This window comes from Homo sapiens, chromosome 6 (genome assembly GCF_000001405.40).
Source record: "Homo sapiens chromosome 6, GRCh38.p14 Primary Assembly".
In the NCBI taxonomy this organism is placed as follows: Eukaryota; Metazoa; Chordata; class Mammalia; order Primates; family Hominidae; genus Homo; species Homo sapiens.
The window spans coordinates 75,082,272-75,097,475 of NC_000006.12; the positions used below are offsets into that span (position 1 = coordinate 75,082,272).

The 15,204-nt window shown below is 38.1% G+C and overlaps 1 protein-coding gene across 10 annotated transcripts in view, besides 1 other annotated feature; it reads right to left on the reverse strand.

Annotated features, from left to right (window-relative positions):
* COL12A1 (collagen type XII alpha 1 chain) overlaps nucleotides 2,055–15,204 on the reverse strand; it is a 121,728-nt gene continuing 108,578 nt past the window's right edge. For 5 of the 10 annotated variants that reach the window (NM_001424116.1, XM_011535435.2, NM_001424113.1 and 2 more), the window contains 8 exons: nucleotides 14,982–15,035; nucleotides 12,837–12,908; nucleotides 9,219–9,254; nucleotides 9,052–9,118; nucleotides 7,839–8,027; nucleotides 6,835–6,903; nucleotides 5,306–5,476; nucleotides 2,055–3,094 (listed from right to left, as the gene is read on the reverse strand). In NM_001424116.1, coding sequence (NP_001411045.1) covers nucleotides 2,919–3,094; nucleotides 5,306–5,476; nucleotides 6,835–6,903; nucleotides 7,839–8,027; nucleotides 9,052–9,118; nucleotides 9,219–9,254; nucleotides 12,837–12,908; nucleotides 14,982–15,035 — 834 coding nt within the window. In that variant the 3' untranslated portion in view covers nucleotides 2,055–2,918. Of the gene's footprint in view, nucleotides 4,287–5,305; nucleotides 5,477–6,834; nucleotides 6,904–7,838; nucleotides 8,028–9,051; nucleotides 9,119–9,218; nucleotides 9,255–12,836; nucleotides 12,909–14,981; nucleotides 15,036–15,204 lie in introns of all 10 variants that reach the window. The other 5 variants (NM_080645.3, NM_001424115.1, NM_001424114.1 and 2 more) reach the window with 1 other exon arrangement.
* Nucleotides 2,430–2,952: an enhancer, noted in NCBI's record as "NANOG-H3K27ac-H3K4me1 hESC enhancer chr6:75794417-75794939 (GRCh37/hg19 assembly coordinates)". NCBI's record gives its function as "activates a minimal SCP1, AML or CMV promoter by ChIP-STARR-seq in primed H9 embryonic stem cells {active_cell/tissue: H9 hESC(primed)}" and the evidence as "EXISTENCE:reporter gene assay evidence [ECO:0000049][PMID:30033119]".

Sequence of the window (15,204 nt, forward strand, 5' to 3'; positions counted from 1 at the left end):
AAAGCTAATAAATGTTTACATAAATAGATATTCAGATCTAAATCAATTTTCTGACCACAGGTATAAGATAAAGATCGATATTACTTTGTATTTAAAATATTGCCTTGGAAAATAAAAGTCACTGCAGCAATTTTGTATATAACTAGCTGGTGTTTATGAGGCAGGCCCCATGAGGACAGTATAATCACAAACCCCTTTTTATTAGGGAGAAATGATGATTAAAACCAAATGAGGAAGAATTGTATGTGCCAAATGCAATGTAAAAGATATAATGAATAACAAATATTTAGGAACGATTATACTGACCTTTTTTGCACAAAAAATAAAATGTAAGCTTGGGCAACTGCCCAGGTAGCAAAATTCTGAATAAAGTCAAAAATGGATGCTCATGTATTTAAGAAAATATACGTGCAAACTTCTGTTAAACTTGCTAAATCATTGCACAAATAGTCTATAAAAATACTCAGAAATTAGGACCCATATAAATGCTATTTGTAAATTTTGAAATCTTTCCCACTGTAGACTTCATGAGAAGCTATAACTTCTCCCCATGTTTATTTCAGGCTACTTTCTAAAAAATGAGAGCCCTAGTTCCAAATATACATTGCACATAAGGAATTTCTTATAATGCTTCCAAATGGAAAAGGCTAGAAAAAGTGTTTCAAGTTGTTCTGTATTCTCCTCAAAAAAAAGTTTGGATAAATAAACCAGCACCTACATGTTAGATTTCTTGTAGTTTTTCCGTGAGTTTTTAAAGACAGACTATCTGTCCTCTTCTCCCCATTGTTTAGTCCGTATGTGCTCAATCAAGGATTATAAAAGTAATTTTAACACAGAATCCAGCAAACACAATTAAGTAAATATACTATGAAAAAAAAATCACAACAAGCATCTCAGCTAGTTATTAATTTTGTGCTTAGCCCCTGGTTTGGATTGCCTCGGCCCCAAGTTCCCAGAACAGAATAGAAAGTGGTTAATCAGCGCATTGCCAACATCAAGAATCAAACCCACATCTAGCCAGTGATAGAAGGTTCAATTTCTTTATGCCTTGAATCCACGTGGCCCTGGGACTCCACCAGATCAGTGGCTGAGGACCCACCCATCTTCAGGGTCTTGATACACATGTTCTTCATCAAGAAGCATCAGAAACCCCAATGAATCAGAAACTAATCAAAATAAACTGATGGAACTTGGAGGTTTGAAAGCTTCTGCCCAGAGAGTAAGAAGATGGGAGTGGGGGAGGCCATCTAGTGATAAACTAGGTTAAGAATCACAAGGCCCAGAGTCTTAGTCTTGTTCTAATATTAATTAGCAGTCTGTTTCTTCCCAGCAAAGCAAAATAATTGGGTTGGTCTGGGATAGTCTCAGCAGTATCTTCTAGCTTCAAAAGTGCACGTGTTGGGAATTACAAGTGAATGCTATGAGTTTAGCAACCTGCTTGACGCCTCCTAAATGTAATGCATTTATGTGTCATCTGTTCGTTTTGATCCTCATCTCCAGGAGGTACTTAATTCAGATGTTTTGGTCTATGGAAAACTTTCTATCACTACTCCTCTCTCTTTAATTGATATTGGTTCTTTCATACCAACATTTACATTGTTTTCCTTGATATTTAGAATGGTTTTATTGCATTTGTAAGTGGAAAAGCAAGGCATCGCTAAATGTAAAATTTTCCATTATGGAATTTTCCTTCTAGCAATTAAACATGTTTTTGGGTTAAGTATGGTATAGAAAAGTGATTAAATGCATACGAAATCGTGTGGGTTATTAGAGATTATTTGGTTGTTTGGGGTATCCTAGGATACATAGTTGTTTTTCCACCAACCCACACATCCTCTATATTCCTAATAAAGCCTTTGGAATCTGCTGGGCTTTTTAAGGCTCTCACCACTCTCTTTCTATGACTTCACCGTATCATTAAAAATCTAAAGTTATTTAGCATAATTTAATAGTATTAGCAAGATTTGTAACCGTATCCAAGGATATGAACTTGTTTGTTGTAACAACCACTTGAGGCAGTCCAAAAGGCCCTTCAAAGAAAGAAACATGCCATGTCAAATTTTCAGTAGTTTTATTGAAAAATGCCTCTTTTGTTTCAGAAATAAATAATATAAGGCAGTGAAATTCACAATCTGCAGTTAAAATATAAAAGCAGCAATTCTATGTTCATAGTCTTGCAAATGTTTTCCAACTACTTTTGATAACTAAGAAATATTATATTCTGAAAAAAGTTCATACTAAATATACAACACAAACATGCAATTCCCTCTCTGCAGAATAATCTGCAATTTGGTATAAATGTTAGTGTGTCTAAAACAAGGAGGTTTAAGGCAATATGGAACTGTATCCCGTTGATGCACTAACTTCATCTACATGGCTTAAGGTTTGTGGTTGTTAAAGAGATGTATACGAGCATTCTATGCCCCGGCGTATAACAGAGATAGAAGAGGAAGATAAGTAATTGCAATGGAGTTGACGTTTCCCTCCTTTTTGGTTTTAGGAGGGGAATTATTTGAATCGTGGTGTAATTGAATTGAAAATAAGTATAGCAAAAGATAAACTGCCCGCTCGAAATACACAGCAGCTCTGGGTTCCAGGACTTAACTGCTTAACCTAAGAGTTTCACTGAGGCTGCCCGCTGTGCTAACTAAAGGCACACGGCATGTTCTCTCTTTGCAGCTTTTGTTAACAAAGTATTTTGCAAGCATTTCAAGGGCAAAGGCAAAAATGTCTACAGACTGCGTGCTTGGAGCTAGGCTTCCTGCAGAAACAAGGTTCTCTACAATCAGAAAGGGTACTCCTGGATGAGCAACGCTGGAAGAAACACCTCAGAAAAGACGTACACTGCTCTATCTGACCTGTAAATGAGAATTTCAACACCTCCCCCAAGCCTCGCGGCGCGGCGCGTGATCTCTGGTTCACTGCCCGGGTCCGTGGGGCAGGGCGCGCCGCCAGCGCCGGTGGGGCTCAGGAGGCTCCTCTGCAGGCTCGTCTGCGCCGTAGTCCTCGTATTCCGCTGTCCGCTCGGGCTCCACCGGCACGATGAAGGGCTCGCGCTCAGGCAGGTAGGCCCCGCCCTCGGGCACGTAAGGCTCTGTCCGATTCAACATTACAATTATGGCATGATTTGGAAGGCACACACACACACACACAGCAAAAGCTAAATCATCACCCGCGGTGATGGCACTCCAGTCTTAATCTCATAACTATAAATAGATAAGTTACAATGTCCCAATTATTTCCAGATAATTTGGTGATAATCAAATAATGAAATGGCACTTTCTTAAAAAAAAAAACCTTCAAAAATCCAGCAGTAAACACAATCATTGCACAAATACTTGGGAAGGGTCAGAGACTGGGCCAAAGAACTGTAAACGCAGTAACTAAGTAGGATTTTCGCAAATCCCCAAGTAACTGTTTATGCCTTCAAACTCCTCAATTCAAAGAACAACTTGGAAAGATGAGGAGGTGAGGGGAAGTTTCATTGGCTCCTAGAAACTGAACTCGGGGGGTGAAAAGCAACTATCACCAGGTAATATACAGTACATGACATCTTCTGTGGCTGTACCTCACACAAACTGAGTTACAGCTGGTGGGTGAGGAACACCAGTGACTACAGCAAAACAGGAAGAAAAGGTGATTTTAAACTTTGGTTTGAAAATTGCAGTTACAAAACCCAAATGAGAGGACACGGACAAAAAAGTAACAAAAAGACAGATGCCCTGAATCAGACACATCGCTAACAAGCAAGAGATGAGGAGATTCCATTTGGTGTTATTCCGGCATAGAGCAAGCGGCAGGCTTTGATGCAGAAGCTTATTGTAGAATTGTTAAGTGATTTTAGTCGACAGGATCACATACAAATCATTTACAAGCCACAATTAGTTTATTATTTACATAAGACATTTCTCTTTAACCAGGTTAATTGTTTTTCTTAAAATGGCATAGACTCCTCTGGTTAGTAGTTTTATTATGCACCTCTTTCAAAACTGAGGCTCCTCATGGCTGTGTGTTGGAACTTTTTTAAAATAATGTTTTTCTACATTATTACTGAAATGCATCAGGATTATAAACTGACACCACTGCTTTTGTCTCATTCAAGTTAGTAAAAAGAGTCTCCACCCTCCTTTGTGATGTCGACCCGGTTCGTTAACCATTATCTGTGGTGAGATTTCCATACAGACTCATTTCCTAATAAGCACGTGCGCAAACATCTCAGAAACAGGATTTTCATGTATTCAAACTGTAAGCAGCACTGGCGACTTAGAAAATGTGTTAGCCGGAACCTGAAACAGGTCAAAGATGATAGTTTTTAAAAGTTGAATGACTAAGTAAAAAATATAAATACACATCCATCTACGTATGTAATGGTTAAAGTATATATATATATATATATATATATCCATATATTTTTAGTTATTCTCACATCCCATAAGGAGGTGGTAATTTAAATTTATAAAGAATTAAATTGCAATTTTTTGAATGGGTTGCATGGAAATATACATTAAGATTTGTTATTACTTTTGGTCATATGTAATTATGCATATAAATATATAGATATATAGATATTTAGATATTCAACTACTCATGCACTATTTGAAAGTAGCAAATCATATCAAACAGCAGTATAATTTTTTAAATTTGCAAGATGCTTGAGGGTGCAGTAATGAAATGGTCGCCATTGACCACAGCATGACTATCTTATTTCCAGATTGGCATATCTACCCAGTCCTCACATCCCACAAAATCAAGTATAGGAGACTTCTGCCCTCTACAATTGTCAAACACTAGAATTTCATTAAAAATCCTTTAAAAACAATTATTAAGTCCCAGATTTTATAAATATTAATTCCATGGCTAGTATGGGACAGTTAACTATGTTCAGTTGTCTACACCATATTATTACATAGTTTACCCATAAATTAGATTCCCAAAACAATTTTTAAATACATATTCTTGGCATTTTACAGTTGTATTTAACAAATCCCTGTTCCCAATCTTGGGGAAAAGAAAAAAAAAAAGTCAATTACTAGCATGCTTTGAAGTCCCAAGAGAAGTAAGGGGAGGTTTATGATGTGATTTGGTAAATGCAGAAACATGGGGAAAAAAGAAAATAATTCAATCCTAACAGTGAAATAATGTTGTGTGCTATGATAGCAAACACTATTATTATATAATCAGAACTGAAAGAGTTGTTATCTTCAAGACATCTTCAAATCAGCCTTCCTTCAATCCTAAGGAACTTCATTTCCGTAAAGTTCTTTACTTCAGGTGAGTTGGGGTTCCTACAATGGCAACAACGTACCTGGATAGCCTTGCCCGTTGTATGGGATGCTGGCACACTGAGAAGAATCACAGTATCCAGGAGGACCTGGGGGTCCTCGGATACCTGAGTTTCCAGGACGGCCAGGGGGGCCAGGGGGACCTCTTGAACCTGTGGACCCTGGTGGACCTGTTCTGGATTCTCCTTGTGGACCTAGTGTGGAGTTAAAACAAATATATTTCCCCTCTTGTCAAATACAACTCCTGAGGTAGCCACCAATACTTTAAGTGGCACCTCCACTGTCTCAAAATTAGACAATTTACTATTGTATGGTAAGAAAATGTTTCCTTAAGAAATACCCAATATGAACCAAGGTGTGATGGAACTTTCTTACCAGTGACTCATCAGAGTTAATGCCAGAAGTATTTTATTCCAGAAAACCTGATTTAGCAAAAATTCAGCCAAACCAGAGATATCAGTGAGTTCTTTGGTTTGCTCCCACTCTCACAGAGAAAAGAGCACCTGAAGGAAACAGCTCTGTTAAGCAGCTACATTGAGCTGCCATCAAAAGAAGGCAGCGTCTGCTCCACACCTCCAGCCTATGCAAAGCAATATTGTTTCTGGATCAATAGTTATAGTTAACATAAATGGAAAGATTTAGCCATAGGGCTGTCCTTGGTTGCAAGGGTATCATGTGCCTTATAATGAAAAAAGAAATCATTTACAACCTAGTAAACAAAATGCATCAGACAGACATGTAGTAGTCCTATCCAAAATATAAAAATGCTTTGGGAGAGCAGTGAATGAAATTTACCAATATCTCAGGCCCTTTTAGTGAGGCTATGTTTTCTCAGTCTAATAGCCCCATATTGAAGACTACTGGAAAAAACAGGAAATATAACCATCTTTAAAGTCTATGAGGCCAAAAAAAAAACAAATAGGAAGGGAGGAAGGAAGGAAGGAAGGAAAAGGGAAGGAAGGAAGGAGACAGAAAGGGGAAATAGTAACCCTTTGTGTCACTAAAATTCATTTCATCATATATTAATGTTATAGTTAATGCCTAATAGAAACTTTTCATTTTTTTAACAAAGGGAACATGAAAATGAAGTTATGGAGGTTGAACTTCTTGCTAAAACATATGCCATGGTAATAAGAATGCTTTATGCTATAATAACAGGATGAAGTTGGCTGGGAGCGGTGGCTCACTTCTGTAATCCCAGCACTTTGGGGCCAAAGTGGGAAGATCATGAGGTCAGGAGATCGAGACCATCCTGGCTAACACGGCAAAACCCCGTCTCTACTAAAAATTAAAAAAAATTAGCCAGGCGTGGTGGCGGGCGCCTGTAGTCCCAGCTACTCGGGAGGCTGAGGCAGAAGAATGGCGTGAACCCAGGAGGTGGAGCTTGCAGTGAGCCAAGATCGCGCCACTGCACTCCAGCCTGGGTGACAGAGCAAGACTCCGTCTCAAAAACAAAAAAAAGAATAACAGGATGAAGTTGTGAATCTCTTCGGGATGGTGTGCCCTCTCGGTATTTATAGTCTTTGCCTGTTTAAAATACTAGCAAACCTACCTGGGGGGCCAGGCAGCCCCCGAGGTCCTGAAGATCCAGTACCCCTTTCACCTTTCTCTCCTGGCAAACCTAAGGAGGGAGAAAAAGAGAAAGCACAGGGGAAAAATTATCTGGAAGCATGTAATTTTCATCTTAACTGATAATATTTGATTCAAGTAATTCATTTCCTTAGTGAAAGCAGAACCTAATTTTTCACAGAAGTTCACTCTTTAAGCCAAGTTCTTTCTAGACATTTGTGTAATTCTAGATTTATGGCCAAGAAAAAATTTGGCTACAAGGCAGGGGAAAAATTATTTGAAGCAAACAAACATGTCTAATATATTTTTAAATAGTAATTAGGAACAGTAATCCTGAAGAAATTGTTATAATATCTCATTGAAAAACATATTAAAGGTATTTTATCTTTAGTAGCCCTATTAGTACAGCAGCCAAACCAGTAGAATTATAGAAATATGTAGGTTTTCTCTAGAGTATTAAGTACTCCTTTGACAAAAGTGGATACCCAGAATCCTGAAATATCTGGAATCAAATAGTCCTGTTTTTCTCCTTTTCCTTCAACTGCAGTTATCTATACCATGAAATTAGAGCCAAACAAACATACAAGACCAGTGCCAGACCCTGAATAAAGGAACCAAAATAAGTTGGATCTAAAACTCTAGGGCTGCCTAAGAACATTCAGTTGCTGCTCGACTCTTGCCGCAGTCACAGAGAGTAATAAGATTTGGGTAGCTGATTTAGTTTGCCAAGATAGAGTTTTTCCCATTAAAAACAACAAAAGTCAGAAAATAGCATTATCTTTACTGAGATCTGATAAAAACATACCATTTTTCTAAGACATGGATCTCTATGGCCTATGAGTTGCCTAACAGCTCTTCTGAGGCTGTCCAAACAAGACCAGGGAAAGCAGTTTGCCTAGGTCACCTTTCAGATGCCTTCAACCTGTCCCAACTCCTACATTTGCAAATTCCTTCCTTTATCCCAATACAGAAGCCAGAAATGCCTACCTCGTTCCCCAGGGGGTCCCTGCATCCCTGGTGTGCCCGGGAAGCCTGGCCGCCCCCCAGGCCCAGGTTCTCCTCTGGCTCCTGCGCTACCAGGAGGTCCCGGTGGACCCGGCGGGCCTGGCTGGTTGCGACTGGACTGGTAATCATTTGGAATCTGATTCAGCATCTGATTGAATCTGTTCATCTGACCTACAAGCAGAAATAAGGCTTGTTAGTAAGAAACCCAATAAAGGACGGATGAGAGAGTGAAACTGTTTTCTCTTAGTGTCTAGTGAAATCCATCTCCATTCTGCAACCCCTCTAAGGAAACAATCTAATTAGAATCCTAAAAATAAAATTAAGACAGTCTAATCATCGAGGACAAAATGGTCCCTGATAAATAACTGTTTCCACAAAATGCTGACCTACAAGCCACAAACATTACTACAAATATAAAAGAGTTGTTAAAGTTTAATATGGCTCTGAAATAAAGTCTTGAGATTTACCAGGTGACATCACTCAAAAGAAAACCTTTTTTATAATTAGATAATTCTACAATTTTTTGTATATCTAAGGCAATGATAATCAGGTTTCAGTGCAAACTGGAATTGCCTGTGGGGCACCTTGAAAAATCTGTATTTCTGGGCCTTATCTCCAAAGTCAATGATTCACTAAGCTTAGGGCATGGTGCAGGAACTCACTTCTAACAAGCAACATAAGTGATTCTAAGGCAGGTGTTCCTCAGTACCGCACTTTGGAAAACATTGATTAAGACTTCTCTAAGAGTGAGTTATGGGTTTAAGGCCCACACCAGTCTGCAGGTACTGAGCTTCATTACTTAACAGGCCTTATGGAATAAGAAGAGCCTGTGAAAAACAGGCAAGAGAGAGTTTCCTACCAAAATCAACTTTCACTGATCAAATTCATCTTGGTGGGCCCCCTTCCTTAAGGTCATAAAATGACTTAAAGATCTTAACTTAAAATATCTGATGTCTTAGTACTTAAGTTTACTGCTATTATTTTACCTTGGGTTATTATTTTATCTTAGTGACAATCTTTAAAATATCATTAACTTCATCTAATCAGATACAAAACTGACAATGTATAAGAACAAAAGCTTATCAAATGAAATGAAAGAGAAATCTATCTCTTAGAAACTTCATGACTCAAACTCTGCATTTTCCTGCAATTAATTTTAAAACAATTCATACAGTAAAAAGAAAAGAAATTTTACCACTTATCAATTGTTCACAGACTTGTCTTGCAACTGCTCGCATCATGTTCTGGGAAGCAATGTCTCCCTTGTTGAATTAATGAGAATGATTAGCATATTAGTTCTATAGTTTTAGGCTTCAATGTTTAACACACAAAATAAACGTAAGATTTTTTAAAAATACATACCCTATCACCTTTTTCTCCTTTCAACCCAGATGGACCCTGAAAAATATGAATTACATACATTAGAAACTGACAAACATACTCTAAAATGATGCATGAATAGACATAATGATGAACGAGAACAAGTTCTGTTTTCTAAAGCATTAGCAAAATGACACATCACATTTATATCCATGTTACTCACATTCTGCTTTTCTATAAAAAGGAATCTAATCTCTCTCTCTCTCTCTCTTTCTCTCTCTCTCTCTGAAGCACATGTCCTCCAAAATAGTGCACAGATGTGAATTTTGTGGTCACAATTGTAAAAGTTATGGACCATGCACACTTTTTACAATGCAATTCATGATACATATGGAACTAAAATACATATGAAGATTGCCCTTGTACCGCCATACTTTGCTTTATATCATCATAGTTGGTTATCTGAGCTGCTTATTGTGGAACGTCCATGAGATTAGTCTCCATTCAGTCTCACTAAGAACCAGCAGGCTGTTGTCAGCAGCTTAGCTCAATATATATCCCTTAACTTCATCCAGTGATTCTTTGTACATTTGAGATAAAAGAAACTGGGTTGAAGCTGGAAACCATCATTCTCGGCAAACTATCACAAGAACAGAAAACCTAACACTGCATGTTCTCACTCATAATTGGGAGTTGAACAATGAGAACACATGGACACAGGGAGGGAAACATCACACAGGCCTGTTGGGGGGTCAGGGGCTAGGGGAGGGATAACATTAGGAAATATACCTAATGTAGGTGATGGGTTGATGGGTGCAGCAAACCACCATAGCACGTGTATACCTATGTAACAAACCTGCATATTCTGCACATGTACCCCAGAACTTAAAGTATAATAATAAAAATATTCTACAATTAAAAAAAAGAAACTGGGTTTTTCTCTTATTAAATAACTCAATCTGATCCTACATCTAAATACAAGCATAGAATATTTGTCCCTACACTGTCATAAGCCTCTCACCATAAGAGATATTGGAAAAGTTTTCCTTAGAGTGCAACAAGTTTTTGTCTTTCAGTTATATATTTCCAGGCTGCCAACTGCTATCACCGAAGGAACATCTAAATCATTGACAAATCACTTCTCACCATCCCCATGGAAACCACTGCAGTCCAAACCAAGACTCTTGCCTGAAACTACTCCAATACCCTCCTAACTGCTCTCCCTTCTCCCCATTTTGCTACATTATAGTCTATTCTCCACACAAAAACCAGAATGATATTTTTTAAAGAAAAATTAGATCATGTAACTCCTTTGGCTCTAAGAGCCACCCATCCCATTCCCATCAGATTTAGAGGAAAATAATAATTCCTTATCATGGGCTACATGGTCCATATGATCATCTATGCCTAGCTATCTGACCTCATATTTTATCCCTCTCCATTTAACTCCCTTCACTTTGGTACCCAGACCTGTTGGATGTTCCTTTCACATGTCAGTCTCGTTCCTCAGCCAAGGCTTTCATTCATGCTGTTTCCTCTGCCTGGAACCCTCTTTCCATAGATCAAATAGCTTTCTCCCTCATTTCATCCCAATGTCACCTTGTCAGAGAGGTTCCTAGATGACTGTATCCAAAATAGCTGCCTTCCCACCAGCACAATCATTCTCTAACCCCTTACTCTGTTTCTTCTTCATAACACTCATTATCACGGGAACCTATATTTACATGGTTTTGTCTATATACCCCCCAGAATGTCTATGAAGGCAAGAATTTTGTCTTGTTTGCTGTTATATCACCTGACCCTAGAACACTGGCTAGCATATTGTAGGCACTAAACAAATATGTGTTTACTAATGAAGTATTCTATGAACATCTCATGGAAACATCTCCTATAGAATATCAGGTACTATAAGTTAGCAAGAAGATATCAACTGATTATAATAGCTAATGACATAAGCTAACAATGATTAAGCCAAGCTCTCTGCTAAGACCTATATATACCTATATGCTATGTTTGGTTTCATTAATTAGAGGAAGGTAAGATAAAATAGGGAAGAAAAAAAGAGGAAATTTGCTACTTTTGAAGGACGAGGAAAATGAAGGAGAAAAGGGGAAGTGCTGGGGTCTAAATAAATGTATACCAAATTATAATTATCGTAAGAAAAACTAGAGTTATCTATTTCTTTGCCAAAAGTATTGGATTTTTGTGGAAACACATATTGTATTTGGAGCATTTTACAAATGCAGGATTTTTTACATTTACTGCTATTTTGAGATTGTTCTGATTTTTTTTAATTTATTGGCACTCTGAGATTGTCCTATTGTTCATGATTTGTAGAAATCATCTTTATTGCCGATATTTAGAGATCATATTTCAAGTAATAGCTGTAGACATTTCTTTTAGGCTTCTAGCTACAGCCATCAATTATATGAGTAATATTCTTATATAAGACACTACTGAGGTCATAGTAAAACAAAATGAAATGCTGAATGGGTAGAAAAGTTTCATATACTTATAATTGCACTTGCAAAGTTTCTACCATGATCCATTGAGGAAAAGAGAGTACTAAAGTCACATGCTAGGGTACACGCAGTTTTTAAAGTATTTAGGTTGGTGCAAACGTAATTATGGTTTTTGTCATTCTTTTTAACCTAATATATCAGGAGTCCTTCTATCTTTATGTTGCCTGCTTAATTTTATGAATCATACAAGGCAAGCCATATCACATAAATGTCCAATTCTAAGTCTCTCTGAAATTACTTTTTTTTTAACTCGGGTTTGTAAAATTTGAACAATGCTTTAAAAAGGAGAAATTCTGTCCAGAGAAGAGCCCTGACAAATTTTTGTCACTGCTAATAGTTGGACTTAATTGTCTTTAAGATAAATTTTTATATTTCAGGATGCTATTTGGACAAAAAAAATTGCTTAAATAAATTCACACTTCATAAATACAAAAAAAGGAAAAGCTTGTAAAAAATATGAAGCCCAACACTCATTACAAATATTTGTGTATATTTTAGAAACTTCAAATTCAGTTTTGGAGATACTAATTTGGAAATACTAAATATGTGTACTACTATCTCAACTATTATTTTAACCAAAATATCTGCATAAGAGAAAGTTAAATGGGGTATAAATTGGGGCAGGACAGTATTAAAAAAGTAAAATGATAAAGTTAATAAATAATTTTAATTCTGGTTCTGATGTTCTAGCCTCCTCAACTAGATACAAAAGAACAAATGGAAAGCTGGATAATGCCACAAAAGGGTTAACATTAGCAAGCTAGGGATGGAGGCGCTGTGCACCATCGTCATGTATTTTTCCATCTTAAGCAGCATACCACTCCTAAGTAAAAAGAATCATTTTGCTGACCCAGCTCTGAGTGTTTATACAGCGCAGAAATATGTGTCTTGGCTCATAATCCCATTCTCCTTTTAAAGAAACCCAGTAACCACAATTTTCATCCCAGAATATTATAACAACCCAGAGAGAAAAATTTTGAACTAGTACCAAGTCAAATCCATGAGTTTAGCATGGTTTCAACAAATGCTTCAAACACATTACAGCAGAGATAACCTAAATATAACAAAGCTTTGCAGTTCTCATTATTTATTTCCACGGTGAAACCACTGTCAGTAGACATGCAAGCTGTCCGCTTACTGGTCTGCCATGATCTCCAGGTTTTCCTGGCTTCCCACTTGGTCCTGTGACTCCTGGGGAGCCTGGGCTTCCCTACAACACATGGAAAGGGAAGGGGACTGTTATGACAAAGGGAAAATCCCATCTAAAGTAAATGAATACAGCCTGTTTTAAACGCGTTTAAATGAAACAACTCATAATTACACATTCAGGAAAAATAAAACCAAATTTTAAGATAACATGAAATAGGGCCGGGCGCGGTGGCTCACGCCTGTAATCCCAGCACTTTGGGAGGCCGAGGCGGGTGGATCATGAGGTCAGGAGATCGAGACCATCCTGGCTAACAAGGTGAAACCCCGTCTCTACTAAAAATACAAAAAATTAGCCAGGCGCGGTGGCGGGCGCCTGTAGTCCCAGCTACTCGGGAGGCTGAGGCAGGAGAATGGCGTGAACCCAGGAAGCGGAGCTTGCAGTGAGCCGAGATTGCGCCACTGCAGTCCGCAGTCCGGCCTGGGCGACAGAGCGAGACTCCGTCTCAAAAAAAAAAAAAAAAAAAAAAAAAAAAGATAACATGAAATAAAAAACTCTTGACAACTACAGTGCAATCCTTATGGACTATATAGTTTTAAAATATATTTTGAGACCAGTTGAAAAATACACGCATATGTATATAATCAGTTTCACAATTTAAGACTATGATCCTAGTAAATTGGTTACAAAGTGGATGTGCAGAAAGCAATTCCCTTTTTTTTTAAGTTTCCTACTACAAGACCAGACAATCTTTCAAAACACAGAGGTTGAAAATTTAGGCTGGAGAAGAATTAAGAAGGTGGCCAGTTTTGTGCTAAGTTGGGCACCATGGTGGCAGAGTCTTCCCTTGTCTGCTGGGAATTGCACTCTCAGCTTAGAAATTCATTTTTCCCTTTGGAGCATTTTCCACACTTTCATTCCCTTCCATCATGTCAGCACCCTTAACCCCACCAAAATCATAAGATTTTCTCCCTGTTGCTTTTACCACAGCTTCCAGACATTTTGGCCCTATATTTAATAGAATGTTTATAATATGTACTGGCCAATATGTCATGTTCTAAAGCCTAAAATTTTCTTAAAATGGAATGTTCAGATTTTGTCAAGCAATCCTTTACTCCATTAATTATGCAAATGTTAATCTCTATAGTAAATACTTAACATGAAAGTTTGCTGTGCATTTAAATCCCCCATTACCTAAAGATCTATATTTTAAACATAAATAATAAAATTATTTTAACATATGCTCTTGAGTATCCTGCCACACAGACATGGAGGCTATCCATCACCTCAAACAATTTTACTGCGATCTCACCTGGATGCAAGTATACAGATGCCAGTTTCAAAATCATTAGTTTCAGTATTTTCCCAATATCTTACGTTGAAGACCCTTTTAGTTGTAGATAAAACTGACTTCCTCAGAACAACTGATGGCTGTTCAATAATAAAGTTCTTGAAATTTAAATGTTATAGGCACAGATTCTTAAAATTCTGTAACAGGGGCCGGGCGCGGTGGCTCACGCCTGTAATCCCAGCACTTTGGGAGGCCGAGGCCGGCAGATCACGAGGTCAGGAGATCGAGACCATCCCGGCTAAAAGGGTGAAACCCCGTCTCTACTAAAAATACAAAAAATTAGCCGGGCGTAGTGGCGGGCGCCTGTAGTCCCAGCTACTCGGGAGGCTGAGGCAGGAGAATGGCGTGAACCCGGGAGGCGGAGCTTGCAGTGAGCCGAGATCCCGCCACTGCACTCCAGCCTGGGCGACAGAGCGAGACTCCGTCTCAAAAAAAAAAAAAAAAAAAAAAAAATTCTGTAACAGGAAATAACCGAACCACCGAGGTTATAAAACCCAACCACTTAATGTAGGGATGAAGAAACTGAGGCACCAACCAGCTGGTAGCCAGTTAGTTAGGGATTTCTTTTTCTTTTTCTCAAGTGTAACTTGATTAAACTGAAAGATTCTGTATTTTAACACGTCTGTTTTCTCTAGCACATTTTGATGTAGGTAAATAAAAACACAGTTCCCTCAATGATATACTCCACAGCACAGATGGAATGTGCTTCAAAGGCAGGTTACTAGCAAAATGAGGTGAGAGGGTGGGAGTGAAGGGCACAAAAATGAGACACATTTAGTTCTTACCGGCGGCCCTGGTGGGCCCCTGGGTCCCATTGCACCGTCTTTTCCAGTGAAGCCCTATTGTAAAAATGAAAGTAATTACAGTTAGGGAGGTCATAAGCAAGTGAAAAGAAAAGATGCTAAACAGGTTGCTAAAGCTGAAGGCTGAAGAGAAGGATTTAGCCCAACATGCTGTTTGGGAGGTAAGCTTTCAATAAAAAGACAAACAGCAAAAAAAATAAAATTA